The following is a 13,812-nucleotide window of genomic DNA, read 5'->3' on the forward strand; positions in this document are numbered from 1 at the left end:
ATGACATGTGCAGCTGGCACACGTGTTCTCAGCAATAGGAACGTCCTACATCCAAATCAGACAAGCAGGCCAGACACAAGTAGGAGCCAACAGAATGAATATTTACCTGAATAACCACCTTGTGAAACAGCGAGAAGAGACTGAGGGTCTGAGGGGACCACAAGCTCAAGGGTACCACCAGGGCCTTGGAGCTCCAGGAAGGGCATATTAATGGGTTAGGGCTCCCAGAGAAGGAGATAGCTTAACTCAGGTTTCCAAAGCCCTGAAAGAACAGGTGGGCAGCCATGGGCCTCCCTCGCCCTGGGGCTGACTGAGCAGAAGTGTTGGGGGAGGTGCTACAACAGGAAAGACAGAGGCCAGAATCAAAAAGGCCTTCTCATCAATGCAGAGGGATAGGTGGGAGAAGACGGTGAAGACAGCTCCTAGAAGCTGGCCTTGCACTCTCTGGCTAGACTGGCTGGAAGAAGGAATCCTGGGGCCCTGGGGCCCGGTGCCAATGACCCCACTGCACTCTCCCTCCCCCAGGTCTGGTCAGAAAGACCATCACTGTCTTCAGCATCACAGCAGCAATGGGTGACTCACCCCTTGGCAATGGGCCCAGATTCCTTACAGATGTTGAAATTATCTGCCCCATCCCCCCCAGGGGACCCAGTGAGGGAGAGGAGAGCAAAGCTCACGCACACACAAGCAGAAACACATATGTGCACATACAAGGGGCAGGCGGCCACACTCACCCTGGGTCCACAATCCCTTTCACCTCAGCTTCTTGGTTTTTCTGCTTTTCCTAGCTGGGTTTGGGTCCTAGGAGTTCTGTTCCTGCTTGGCGAAGCAGCTGAGCTACTGAGCCCAGAGGGCACCCAGCAAGGCCAGGCAAGTTGCCCGGTCAACTTCCCCTGGCTTTGGGCCCTGGAAAGCTGCACCCTCTGTCTCATCCAGAGTCTGGGCCTCGGGGTGGGCCTTTTATTAGAGATTCAGGGCCAGCCGTGGAGGAGGAGAAGCACGTGAGCTAGAGGGATGGAGTCTCCACCATGAAAAGGATCAGCAGGACTTGGGGTTCTCTGGGGAGGCGGCGTCCTTCTGCAGGGAGAGCTCACTGCCTGTTCCTCCCCACCCCACTGGTCCTACCAGCAATGTGTCCACAGGATTGGCTTACGTATTGGGGTGGGAGGTTGTTCTCTTACACACAGAGACACAGGAATACATACGAATGCACAAAGCCAGTCTGAGAGACAAACACAGAGATGCTCAGAGACATAAACGTACGAAGACACAGGCACACACACTCTCCAGCTCACTGCACACAGGCTCAAGGGTGCCAACACCTCAGATCACCCTGAGCCCAGCCCCTAGACTCTGCTATAACTGCCCACACGACCACACATACATGGTCACATATGTGCAAGGACCCCAGCACCCCAGGATACCAGTTGCAGGCCTGTGATACTGTGACTCTCCTGTGTCATCTCACCTGTATTTGCCCCATGGCCGAAGGTAGCCCAAAGACCGAGCAGCCACAGGCCAGGAGCCCAGGATACCCACATCCCGGTCCAAAGAGGTCAGCTACAGCCACAGCACCTGAAAACCACAGAGACCGGGAAGGCGGATTTCTGAGTTCACACAGCACAACTCCACACGTGGGCAAGTCGTGGACAGCCTGTGGGGCCCAGGCACTGGTATTGGGGTGGCAGGAGGTCTGGCCAGGCATCAGTCTCTCTCAGAGGCCCAACCACAGCCCTTGGGCTAGGATTTGAGCAGAGGCGATATTCAAAATATTTAACCACCGGTATGGCACGGATACCAGCTTTCAGGCAAAGCAGAAAGCTGCCTACTGCACTGAAATAGTGTCCAGGCAGCATCTGGCTGTGCCAGTGGATACTTGCTGGATTGGGAGAGGTCTAGAAGGTCTTAGAAGGCCAGAGAAGTTGGAATAGTGATGAGGGCTTAAAGAAGAGGCTATTCTTCAAGACACGTGGAAGTATTTCAAGTCTAGCATCTTGTGCACTGTCCTGGTATATATACCAGCCTGATACCTTACTAGCGCACCCAGCTCAGCCCAGGAAGCCCTCCCAGGCACCCACAGGGTCAGGGGCTGGTGACTGGGCTGAGATTGTGGGCCACAGCCTTCCATAGGGCTGTGTGGGGGCCAAGGAAGCTTTCCCCATAGGTATAGTGGGCAGGAGAGCAGGTCTCTAGGGCTCAGGACCTCATTGCCAGCCACCCCCGCCCCCAGCTGATGGATGCTTGTCTTTTAGTTTTATTAAACCCTGATGGATGGGCCCAGATAAATCGATGCAGGCTCAGCAAGTGGCCAGCAGAGCCATACATCGTCTGGCCTCCCCCAGGACAGGCAGCTCACGTGCACAAACACAGAGCCATGCATGTGTCAGCACAGCACATGCAGATGCGCAGGTACATGTACATAAGGACACATATGTGGTACCAGTGTGCATACAAAGCTATCTGCACACAGGCATGCTCACGGAAACATATGCTCGCTGATATACCCAGACACACCAGCTTGCATATACCCACATGCGCACAGCCAGCCTATGACCACTCCTCCTGTAGGTCTTCCTGTTGGGAAGTTCTAATGCAAGTCTGACTGCATTCCTTCCAACTCTAATGAAATCCAATTTTCCTTCCCTCAATCATGGATAGGAAATGAAAACAGAAAGGACCCCTTACCCCAATATATTTGGAGATAGGACTCCAGCCCCCTTCTCCCTGGGACAGAACTGTGCCCCCAGCCTGCCTATTCATCCCCCATCCTAGTGATATACACATCCCAGCTCTCAAACCCTATCCTGGTCTTCCTCCTGCCAGCCAATAGAAGGGCTGCCAGCTGTGGCGCCATGTGGGTGCATGTGGAGGCGTGAGGATGGATGTGATCCTGTCCCCTTCCGGCTCCTAGTCTCTGGTCGCCACTCCTCAGGCTCCAGCCAGAGTGCAGGGCTGCAAGGACAGAGCCAGAGAAGCTTCCAAGGAGACGGCTCACCCCAACACAGAGGCATAGATTTGGGCGCAGGGAGTCAGAACCAGGATGGAGTTTAGAGCTCATCTCGCTCTAGAGAAGACGACCAAGGCCCAGAGAGGGAATGCCACTTTCCTCAGGTCACACAGCAAGTCTGGCAGAAAGGGCCTCTCAGCCCAGAGCCCTGAGGCCGCCCACTGTATCCCTACTTACCGGTGGCCGGGGATCCCCCCACCTCACTGAGCAGTCCAGGCAGCAGGCGGAGGAAGCAGAGCCCAGGTTCCTCAGGTCCGCTAGGGGTTCTCTATCTCTCCGTGACGGTCACGGGTCCCCAGCTTCCTGGCGCTCGAGCTCTCCCGGCTGTCTGCTGCCCGGCGCACGCCTGCCGGGGACTGCCGGCCACTCCGGGTGGGGGAAGAGAGGCGGTTCCAGGGGGCTGGGGGCCTGCCAGGGACACTAATGGAACACAGCTGGACCGGCCCGCCAGGGAGGAGGAGGAGGAGGGCCTAGAGGGGGCTCCAGCGGCACCAGAGGCGGCTAGACTGCGGGGTGCACAGCCCCGCCCCGGGTCTGGCCGAGCTCCCAGGCCCGCCCCTCCTGCCTCACCGCCAGGTGAGCGATCCTCGAGCTAGGCGGGACCCTACGTGCCCAGAGCTGCCCTGGAAGGGGGCTCCTGCGGGCCCTTTAAGAGTCAGGCCTGGAGTTTGAAGAGCTCCCCCTTTCCATGTCCCTGGCTGGGCCCCCAGAAGGCTGCGGGGTGGGGGGGCGGGGAGGGGACAGGGGTGGAGGGAGCAGGGTAGAGACCCTCCTCCCAAGTGCGTGGCACCCATGATGTGGCTGCCGCCCAAGCCTCGGTGGTCAGCTTTTTCCAATTCCTCTGCCTAACATTCCCAGTCAGTCTGTCCCTAGGTCTGTCTGTACTGGGAGGAGGAGGGTGGGAACCCCCTCCCTCCTCCGTGCTAAATTAACCCCCTCTGCTCTGGCCTGACTCCCAGAGAAGTGAGACTGAGGGAGTCCCCTTATTCCTCCTTACTCCATGAGGTTGGAAGGGCTCAAATCCCTGGCCCCTGCTCTGGCTTTGCGGTTCCAAATGTGCTGTGTAACCATACTCCGTTTTCTCATCTGGAAGATGGGATCGTGAGAGTATATGCCTCATAGACCTTTGCTGTAAGCAGGAAATGGGCCAAAGGCTGTAAGCGCTTAGCACACGGTCTGGCACATGAGAGGAGCTCAGTAAATATTTGCTGCTATTATCGTTATTACTGTGATCCCTGGCAGGGGACGGGACTGGATTTCAAGCCTTTACACCAGCACTGGGGAGGGACCTGCTTTATATTCACGGTCCAAGGACGCAAGAGGAATTGAGCTGGGCTGAAAGATTGGAGCTCTGAGGAGGAAGGAGCCGGTAATGTTCCGAGTTCTGCCCAGAGGCAGGGCCGTTGACCAAGGTGGAATCCCCACCAAGGGTCTCCTCCCGCTGTAGACCGAAAGCAAATTTATTGGCACCAAGGCTGAGGATCCACAAAGTAGGTTCAAGAGGCCATGAGATGCTGGGCTGAAGAGGGAGAAACTGAGCGTCCCCAGTTGAGGGGGGCTCTGGGGGCTCTGTGGAAGCAACGCGCCTAGCCCTGTGGCCTCGGCTAACCCGGGGTAGGGGGAGGTTGTAGGGGCAGGCCTGGGATTTCCCGCCTCCAGACCCAGAGGCGCTGAGTCAGCGGAAACCCCAACCACGCCACAGAGGCGCCCCACTGTGGTCCCAGTGAGGAGCTGGCCCCAGATGTGGCTGTGGCAGTGGTGGGGCCTGGGAAGTGCTGAGCTCAGCAGGCGGGAAGCGGAGGGGGTGGGGCCTTCTGAGCACTCTGGCCTGCGGGGTGGGTGGGCACAGGCCCCGCCTGCCCTACCAGAGGGTGCTGCCCCAGCAGTGGGCACTCGGGAGAGGTGGGAAGCGCATATAGGTCAGGCTCTGTGCTGAGAACTTCACATATGCTAACTCCTTCGATCTTTACAACAACGCCTTAAGGCAGAATTCCATTTTTATTCCCAAACCTGCAGCACAGGAAAAACACAACTTGCCCGGGATCCCACAGCTAGTCAGTGGTGGAGCAGAACTCATGTCCAGCCAGCCTAGACTCAGCACGTGCTCTTAACCACCATGCCATCCTGACAGCTCCCACCCGTGCCCCAGACAGGGCAGGTGGCTGGGCCAGGGATGGAGGAACCTGAGAAGGGAGAGCCAGATGCCTTCCCACAGCACCCCAAGGGTGCTCACAGGAACAGCCAAGCCTGGGACACACCTTACGCCTAGAAACACTATCATAGACAGTCTAGGAATGTGCCCATGCCCCTTCCTCCCTTCCACACATACGTGCACACATCCAGAAACACGCAGTCAGGTAAAGTTCTAGCACAGCACTTGAGTACGCAGACTCCATATGCATGTATAGGCACTCATGTTCACACAGACACACCCTGGCCCTAGAAACAGTTACACACAGATGTGTAGAGACTCAAGATACGCCTCCACATCAAAGATACACAGAAACACATGTAAGAGCCCAGATTACCCCACAGAAATATATCCCTGGACATATCCAAACACAGGTACATAATTCTCAGAATGCCTGCATACAGCACTGTATATACTCGAATGTGCACACACAGACACATGCCTGTACACATAGACATGTGTGCACATAAACATACATGTGACCACAGGCATAATTACTCAGATATGCAAGCAGAGAAGCCTGCAGACCTGCAGCACATACATGTGTGCACACAGACATAGATGGCCACACAGACTCGGCTCCCAGAGAAACAGCCACTGGGACATGCACACACTGACACATGTACACACATGCATACATGCAGCTGTGCTGACACTTTTACATGCAGTCAGTGCCAGAAAGCCCTGCACGCCAGCAACCCGGGTATCCCGTGAGGCTGGGCTCAGCGCCCTCACCCCAGATGGCATCACCACGAGGTAATCAATGCTGCTAATCACCACCAGCTGCCCTGGAGCCTGCATGCTGCTGCTGCATGGGGCTACCAAGGCCTTCTGGACCTGGGGTAGTATGCCCAGATGTTGGCAGTGCCCAAGGGCCCTCCGCCCCCCACTGGGGAATCCCTGTCTGGCAGGGGCAGCCCCTGGGGCTGGGGCAGGTTGAAGAGCCAACCCAGGGCCTGGTCCCAGGACAGGTCCGGGAGCCCCCACGCGTTCAAGCAGAGATGGTGTAAAGTTCTGAGGCTTGAACAGTGGACCAGAACCCCCACATGTACACGTGCACACCTGGGCCCTGGCATATGCGCATACGGGCTCACACGCAGACACATCACACATGATTGATTACTCTTCACAGATATGCCCTTCCTGACTTCCTCATCCCTTTAAATGCCACGATAATTCATTCTGATGCTCAGGTAAAAACCTGAAAACCTTGGCTCCTTTCTTTTCCCTACCACCCCCATCCAATCCTGTCAGTTCTACCCCCCAAATACAGCCCACGTCCATCCACTCCTCCCCACCTCCACAGCTGCAACCCTCACCCAGACCATGATCATCTTCTGCTGGGCTGTTGCAAGAGCCCCCAGCTGATCTGCCTGCTGCCTTGGGGCCCCACCACCCACTTACTTCCCACCTGGTGGCCAGTAAGACCTTTTCTTTTCTTTTCTTTTTTCTTTTCTTTCTTTCTTCCCACCTGGCAGCCAGTAATACCTTTTCTTTTCTTTTCTTTTCTTTTCTTTTCTTTTCTTTTCTTTTCTTTTCTTTCTTTCTTTCTTTCTCTCTTTTTCTTTCTTTCTTTTTTCACAGAGTTTCGCTCTTGTCACCCAGGCTGGAGTGCAATGGCGCAATCTTGGCTCACTGCAACCTCTGCCTCCTGGGTTCAAGCAATTCTCCTGTCAGCCTCCCAGGTAGCTGGGATTACAGGTCCCCACCACTATGCCCGGCTAATTTTTGTATTTTTTAGTAGAGACAGGGTTTCACCATGTTGGCCAGGCTGGTCCTGAACTCCTGACCTCAGGTAATCCACTCACCTTGGCCTCCCAAAGAGCTGGGATTACAGGCGTGAGCCACTATGCCTGGCCAGTAAGACCTTTTCAAACCCATATCAGCTGGCTTCACTCTGTTGCATCCGTCTTCCTAGAATAAAGCCCCAAATCTTTCCCTTGGCCTTGCCAAGTCCTTCATGATCTCGCCTCTGTCTTCCTGTCCAGCCACCTCACCGCAAAAGCTGTAGCCACCCACTCACTTCCTTTCTCAGCCCTGAATTCACTAAGTTCACTTTCCCCTCAGCCCTTGTGCACCAACTCTTCCCTCTGCTGGCGAGGATTTGCCCCTCGTCTTTGCCAGGCTGGCTTTTTGATATCCAGGTCTCACCTCCTAAGTCAACTCCTCAGAGTGGCCTTCCCTGACCACTAGATATGAGGAGCCCCTAGTTGCTCCCCATCACATGATCCTGTTTTGGGGTTTGTTTGGTTGGTTGGTTGGTTTAGTTTGTTTGTTTTTTTTTGAGACAGGGTCTCATTCTGTCACCCAGGCTGGAGTGCAGTGGTGTGATCATAGCTCACTGCAGCCTTGAATTCCTGGGTTCAGGTGATCCTCCCTCCTCAGCCTCCTGAGTAGCCAGGACTACAGGCTGGCGCCACCACTCCTGGCTATTTTAAAAATGTTTTTGTAGAGGCAGGGTCTTGCTATGTTGCCTAGGCTGGTCTTGAATTCCTGGCCTCAAGTGATCCTTCTGCCTCCGTCTCCCAAAGAGCTGATATTACAGGCGTGAGTCACTGTGCCCAGCCCGACCCTGTTTTAAATCTCTACATAGCTCTGGTATTTGTTTGTTTGTTGTCTTTCTCCACTAATAAGCACGAAAGCTCCATGAGCGTCCCTGTCCACCGTTAATACCGTCCTTCAGCTGAGCCTGGCATCCTGCAGGCACCCACTATTGAATGAGTGGCTAAATGCATGCAAGCAGTGTCCAAGCACACAGACACAGCCTTGCACCGCAGGAGGTATGGCATAAGCACACATGAGTATGCACGTGCGCTCTCATATGCAGACACAGTTGCAGCTTCGGGGTCACAGAGGAGAGACTGAGACCAGAGGATCAGGGCTCTCTCTGGCTGCTTTGGTTTCTCTGAGTGTGTCTCTCACTGTCTCTGTCCTCTGTCTGTGTGAAATCTCTGTGGCTCTTTCTTCCTTCTCAGCAAGTCTGTCCCCGTCTCCAGCTCTCTCTTTCGTAGGTCCCTCTGTTTTCCTCTGTGTTTGGGATCCTGTGTATCTAACTTGGCGTCTCTATGTCTCTGTGTCTCTGGTCTCTTTTTCTCACACTTTCCGCATCTTTACGTTCCTGTCTTCTGTCTCTGTTTGTCTCTGTCTTCCCCGTCACTATCTCTCTGCGCATTTGTATCTCTCTTCACCCTGTCTCTGTCTCTCCTCACCCTGTCTCTGTCTCTCCGTGTGTGTCTCATTCATTCTCCATCTGCTCGTCTCTGTTTCTGGGTCTGGTCTCCATCTTGCTGGCTCTAGATCTCTGCCTCTCTGTCTTTCATTCTTCCTCCCTCTTGTCCTAAATCAGCTCGGCCACCACGTCTTCACGGCTGTCTGCGTCCCTGTGGCAGGGAGACCCATCTTTCACTTCTGACTGGCAGCTTTATGGTCATAGTGGGAAGGCCAGTGCTCCTCTCCGATAATGCCCCATCTCCCCTACGGGGCCGTGGCAAACTCCTCACTGAGACCTGGGTCCTGGCAACCTTCCCCAGCCACCAGGCCCAGCCAGGGCATCTTACTTCAAGCAGCTCATGTTACCAGACACCTGCTTGGTTTGACTACCCCAGAGCTGCAAGAGAGGTGAGCCCAGATCCTGATGGACACTGCTGTGGATGTGGCAATGGCCAGGGAAGGTGGACACGGGATACCAGACACTCCAGGTATCCTGGGCCCCAGCTTGGCTGCCCCTGGACTCTGCCCACCTGTTTTGAATGACTCACAGAGAGTTGTGGCAGGCACAAAAGACCTGGATTCCAGTCTTACCTCTAGCCACTGTGTGGCCCTGGACCCTGGTCCCCATGTGTCATACAATCCCAGTTTAAGCTACCTAGCCTGGTGTGTTATGGCATCTAAAAGAAACAGGCCTAGGCCAGGTGCGGTGGCTCATGCCTGTAATCTCAGCACTTTGAGAGGCCGAGGCAGGTGGATCACAAGGTCAGGAGTTCGAGACCAGCCTGGCCAACATAGTGAAACCCCGTCTCTACTAAAAATGCAAAAATTAGCTGGGTGTGGTGGTGCACCCCTGTAGTCCCAGCTACTCGGGAGGCTGAGGCAGGAGAATCGTTTGAACCCAGGAGGTTGAGGTTGCAGTGAGCTGAGATTGCACCATTGCAGTCCAGCCTGGGCAACAAGAGTGAAACTCTGTCTAAAAAAAAAAAAAAAAAAAAAAATGAAAGAAACTGGCCTAATTATTCTACCCCAGTGGTTCTCCACAGGGGGCAACTTTGCTCCCAGGGGACATTTAGCAATGTTTGGAGACATTTCTGATTGTCATAATGGGGGAGGGGTTGCCACTGGCATCTGGAGGACAGGGGCCAATGATGTGCCTACCATCCTACAGTGCCCAGGACAGCCCCTCACAATCCGAATTATCTGGCCCCAAATGTCAGTAGTGCTGAAGGAGAGAAATCCTGTTCTGGGCCGGGTGCAATGGCTCATGCCTGTAATCCCAGCACTCTGGGAGGTGGAGGTAGGTGGATCACTTGAGGTCAGGAGTTGGAGACCAGCCTGGCTAACATGGCGAAACCCTATCTCTACTAAAAATTAGCCCGGCATGGTGGCGCGCACCTGTGATCCCAGCTGCTTGGGAGGCTGAGGTAGAAGAATCACTTGAACCCGGGAGGTGGAGGTTGCAGTGAGCTGAGATCACGCCACTGCACTCCTGCCTGGGCAACAGAGCGAGACTCCATCTCAAAAAAAAAAAAAAAAAAAAAAAAAAGGTTTAAAGCTGGAAAGTCAGGTGGGCCAGAGATTGGAACTTGACTCTGCCTAACACCAGGGCCCATGAGTTTACTCAGGTCACCTGCAGTCCCCCAAGTTCTGTAAAGCAGGAGGGTAGGCGTTCTCAAGCTTGGAGGACTTGTTAAACACAGGTTGGCAGGCCCCACTCTCAGAGTTTCTGATTCAGTAGTTTGCATTCCTAACAAGTTCCCAGGTGATGCTGATGTTGTGGACCCAGGGACCACATTTGAGAACCCCTGCGGGAGAGTATGATGTTTGATTATCTGCATGTGGGTTCAAATCCAGCCCTTACTGAGTCTATGACTTGGGGATATCACTTAACCTCTTCCTCTGCAAGCAGAGATAACAGCAGTGCCTATCACGTAGGGTTGCTGGAAGGATTAAGGGAGATAGTGACAAAGAGAAAGCCCCTCACGGGATGCTGGCACCTAGTAAACTCTCAGAAGTGCTCACCAGCGTTAGGATTCCCAACCCAGGCAATGCTCCCCCTTTCCAAACAGAAGAAGCTCCCAGTGAGCAGAGAACTAAAACAGCCTCTTCTCCTGCCTATCAGATATCTCTCCAGGCCTAGTAAGAGCAAGGCACAAGATGCCAAATGACATAAGCCCAGGCGGGACAGTGGGATGTTGCTCACGTCTGCCTAGGTATTCCCAGGGACTCCTGCCCCATAGCACAGGTTCTCCTGGAGCAGAGGTGAGGGTGGCACATAGTCAGCAGTGAGAACCCCCAGACTGGTGTGGCCCCCAGACTTCCTCCAGACCCAATCCCACACCTAATGACCCTAGCCTTTTGGGGTAAGAATGGCATAGCTTGCCACCACCACACCTTATCCAAACATCCCTTTGGCCACCAACCAACACAACTCAATCCTGCTGTGCTGTGTGACCTTGAGCTAAACCCTAAGCTCCTCTGAGCCTTACTTTCTTCACCTGTAATAATCAAATAAGAGCCAGGTATAGTTGTTCATGCCTATAATCCCAGCACTTTGGGAGGCCCAAGCAGGAGGATCACTTGAACATAGGAGTTTGAGACCAGCTTGGGCAACATAGTGAGACCCTTGTCTCTACAAAAAATTTTTAAAAATTAGCTGGGTGTGGCAGTCCATGCCTGTAGTCTCAGCTACTCAGGAGGCTGAGGCAGGAGGATCTCTTGAGCCCAGGAGGTTAAAACTGCAGTGAGCTGTGACTATGCCACTGCATTCCAGCCTGGGCAACAAAGCGAGATCCTGTTTCCAAAAAAAAAAAAAAAAATGCAAATAAGACCTCAGCATAGTGGCTAAAGGAAGGGGCAAGGGGACTCTAGTTCCAGGGTAACTGGGTTCAAATCCTGCCTGTACCACTTACTAGCTGTGTGACTTTTGACAAACTACCCCATCTTCCTGGAGTAAGCCTCAGTTTTCTCGTTGGTGAAACAGAATTGTCCCTACCTCACAAGGATGCTGTGAGGGTTACCTGTGACAGGACATTTAAAGTGCTGAGCTTGGTTCCTGGAACTCAATGAACACCAGCTATTCTAGATGTACAATGAGAGTGTGTAACCCTCATTGCCACCACAAAGAGAGTATGTAATCTTCACCACCACAACACACGCAGTCCCTTGGCGGGCTTCCCTCCCCTCAATGTTTAGCTTTGAGGCTATGTTCACTTTCCTTCCCACTTGGAGGTGGGGAAGGAAATTGGAAACAGGCCCCAGGGCGGGTAGATCTTGGCAGAAGCTTGGAGGAGGGAGGAGGATCATCAATTATTAGCCATTGATTTGCTTGAACGTCTTTGTGTCCTGCTAAACCAGAAGTCACAAAAGGAGCTGCTTTTGTTACCATTTCTCCCTAGAGCCTGTGACAGAGACTAGGTGTTTTAAAAATAGTTGCTGCATGAATGAAAGAGGGGGTCGAGCGCCTTCTGAGGACAAACTCCCCTCCATGAAGTACAAACCAAGGAGTCTCCTGGCGGATGCTTGGTGATGAGGGGAGTATTGAAGGACTCCCAGATTCTTTCTTCGCATGCAAGAAACTCAGACAGTTGGTCTCATAAATTCTTCGAATCCTGGAATCTCTGGGTGGAGAGAAGCTCTGGCAGCTGCCCAGCTCCTCCTCCTCCCAGCAGTGCCTGGGCTGGGGCTGGGCAGGAGAGGCCTGGTGACCTGGCTAGAAAGAAGGCTAAGGGAGTGAGCAGGGGAAGGGAAAGTTCAGGGAGAAACCCCAACTGTTTCACCAAAGCAGAAAATAAATCAGAGATCAAGAAAGGGTGTGATCCTGGCTCTGCTACTTCCTGGCTTTATTATCTTAGGCAAATTCCTTCACCTCTGTGAGGCATACTTTCCATATCTGTAGAAGGGGGGTGATAGTAATAACACTAACCACATGGAATTGTGAGGATTCAATGAGATAATGCATGAGACTACGCCAAGCCCATAGTAAACATTCAACAATGCTCATTCTTATGTACCTTATTTTTATTTGAGCAGACTCTTGTCCTGCATCTTACACCCATGTTCATCTCTGACATTTCCTCCTGATCCCCCATTTTATTATTTACATAGCTGGTTTCATGTAGCTTTAAGAGCTCAGTGACATTTCTGACAGACATAAGACCTTTTTCCGTGAAGTGGCCTAAATGATAATATGTAAAGACCGAAAACCAACTGGAGTATTTGTTTGTCAGCCTTGACCATTCAGAAAAGGCCTGACACTGGTGTGTTCGAACGAAAGAGGACAGGTGATGGGAGAGTGGGAGAAAGAGCCTGGGACTGGGGGATTGGCAGACTGGGGGCCTAGGTTCAAGGCCGAGGTCTGCCTTGATGCATTGTTTGGCTTTAGGAGGCTTCTTGCCTTTGGGAAACTAGGGAAGGCTGAACTTGGAGACTCTTGAGCCCACTCCATTCCTCCCAAGTCTGAGGGTCTTAAGCCTGTAATGAGCCAAATATGTCCCCTCCTTGAGATGGGGAAGGGGAATGGGAGTGGGGTGAAGTGAGCCAGACCTGTGTGAGGGCCAGGGTACCACCCTCCCGCTCACCCCCAATTCAGGCCTCATACACGCCTCAGTTTACCAGGTGTTCCAGATCCATCCAAGTACCCTGTGACCATTCCCCATACCACCTTAGCTAAGTCCTTCCAGGAAGAGGAGCCCACCACACCACACCCATTAATCCTCCTCTGGAAGGAGAGAAAAATAGGTGTTGGAGATGGTAACTTGCTGAGCGGGACTGAAGCCAGGTGTGTGTGACTCCCAATATGCCACGACTGCTTTTTAAAAAATATTTTGGCCGGGTGTGGTGGCTCATGTCTGTAATCCCAACACTTTGAGGAGGCAGATGGATCACCTGGGGTCAGGAGTTCGAGACCAGCCTGACCAACATGGTGAAACCCCGTCTCTACTAAATACAAAAAAAAATTAGCTGGGCCTGTTGGTGGGCACCTGTAATCCCAGCTATTTGGGAGGCTGAGGCAGGAGAATCGCTTGAACCCAGGAGGTGGAGGTTGCAGTGAGCTGAGATTGCGCTGTTGCACTCCAGCCTGGGAGACCGAGTGAGACTCTGTCTCAAAAAAAAAAATTATTTCAATCATTAGGACAATCCCAAGTATGTCTCATTCCCAATTGACAGGGGAATGGGCCATAAACCTGGGTGTCATCCTCGGGTGGAGCACCTACAGTAGGAAACAGGCCCTAGGAAGTGGAGTGAAATCCAGAGCTGTCACAGGGCACTCTACTGTGCCATGGGCCTCTTCCTCTCTTTGGAACTCGGTTTTCTCATCTATGGAATAGCAGTGTTTGCTCCAGAACCGCTAATATCCAGGTCGGGACTTTGTGTTGCTGCGAGCCCAGGTCCCCACCCTGAA

At 53.2% G+C, this 13,812-nt stretch overlaps 1 protein-coding gene across 14 annotated transcripts in view, besides 3 other annotated features; it reads right to left on the reverse strand.

Moving 5' to 3' along the window:
• Positions 1-3,365, reverse strand: part of COL16A1 (collagen type XVI alpha 1 chain) — a 51,755-nt gene extending 48,390 nt beyond the window's left edge. For all 14 annotated transcript variants that reach the window (XR_001736983.2, XM_047446435.1, XM_047446431.1 and 11 more), the window contains exons 1-2: positions 3,185-3,365; positions 1,469-1,575 (exon numbers count right to left, since the gene is read on the reverse strand). Coding sequence is in view for 13 of the 14 variants with exons in the window: in XM_047446435.1 (XP_047302391.1) it covers positions 1,469-1,541 (73 nt within the window). In the remaining variant the exon portion in view is untranslated. The remainder of the gene's footprint in view (positions 1-1,468; positions 1,576-3,184) is intronic.
• Positions 724-1,476: an enhancer, noted in NCBI's record as "H3K27ac-H3K4me1 hESC enhancer chr1:32166977-32167729 (GRCh37/hg19 assembly coordinates)". NCBI's record gives its function as "activates a minimal SCP1, AML or CMV promoter by ChIP-STARR-seq in primed H9 embryonic stem cells {active_cell/tissue: H9 hESC(primed)}" and the evidence as "EXISTENCE:reporter gene assay evidence [ECO:0000049][PMID:30033119]".
• Positions 4,786-4,835: a silencer, noted in NCBI's record as "silent region_572". NCBI's record gives its function as "represses an Ori minimal core promoter by ATAC-STARR-seq in GM12878 lymphoblastoid cells {active_cell/tissue: GM12878}" and the evidence as "EXISTENCE:reporter gene assay evidence [ECO:0000049][PMID:35858748]".
• Positions 7,276-7,325: an enhancer, noted in NCBI's record as "active region_649". NCBI's record gives its function as "activates an Ori minimal core promoter by ATAC-STARR-seq in GM12878 lymphoblastoid cells {active_cell/tissue: GM12878}" and the evidence as "EXISTENCE:reporter gene assay evidence [ECO:0000049][PMID:35858748]".

Source organism: Homo sapiens, chromosome 1 (assembly GCF_000001405.40).
Source record: "Homo sapiens chromosome 1, GRCh38.p14 Primary Assembly".
Classification (NCBI taxonomy): Eukaryota; Metazoa; Chordata; class Mammalia; order Primates; family Hominidae; genus Homo; species Homo sapiens.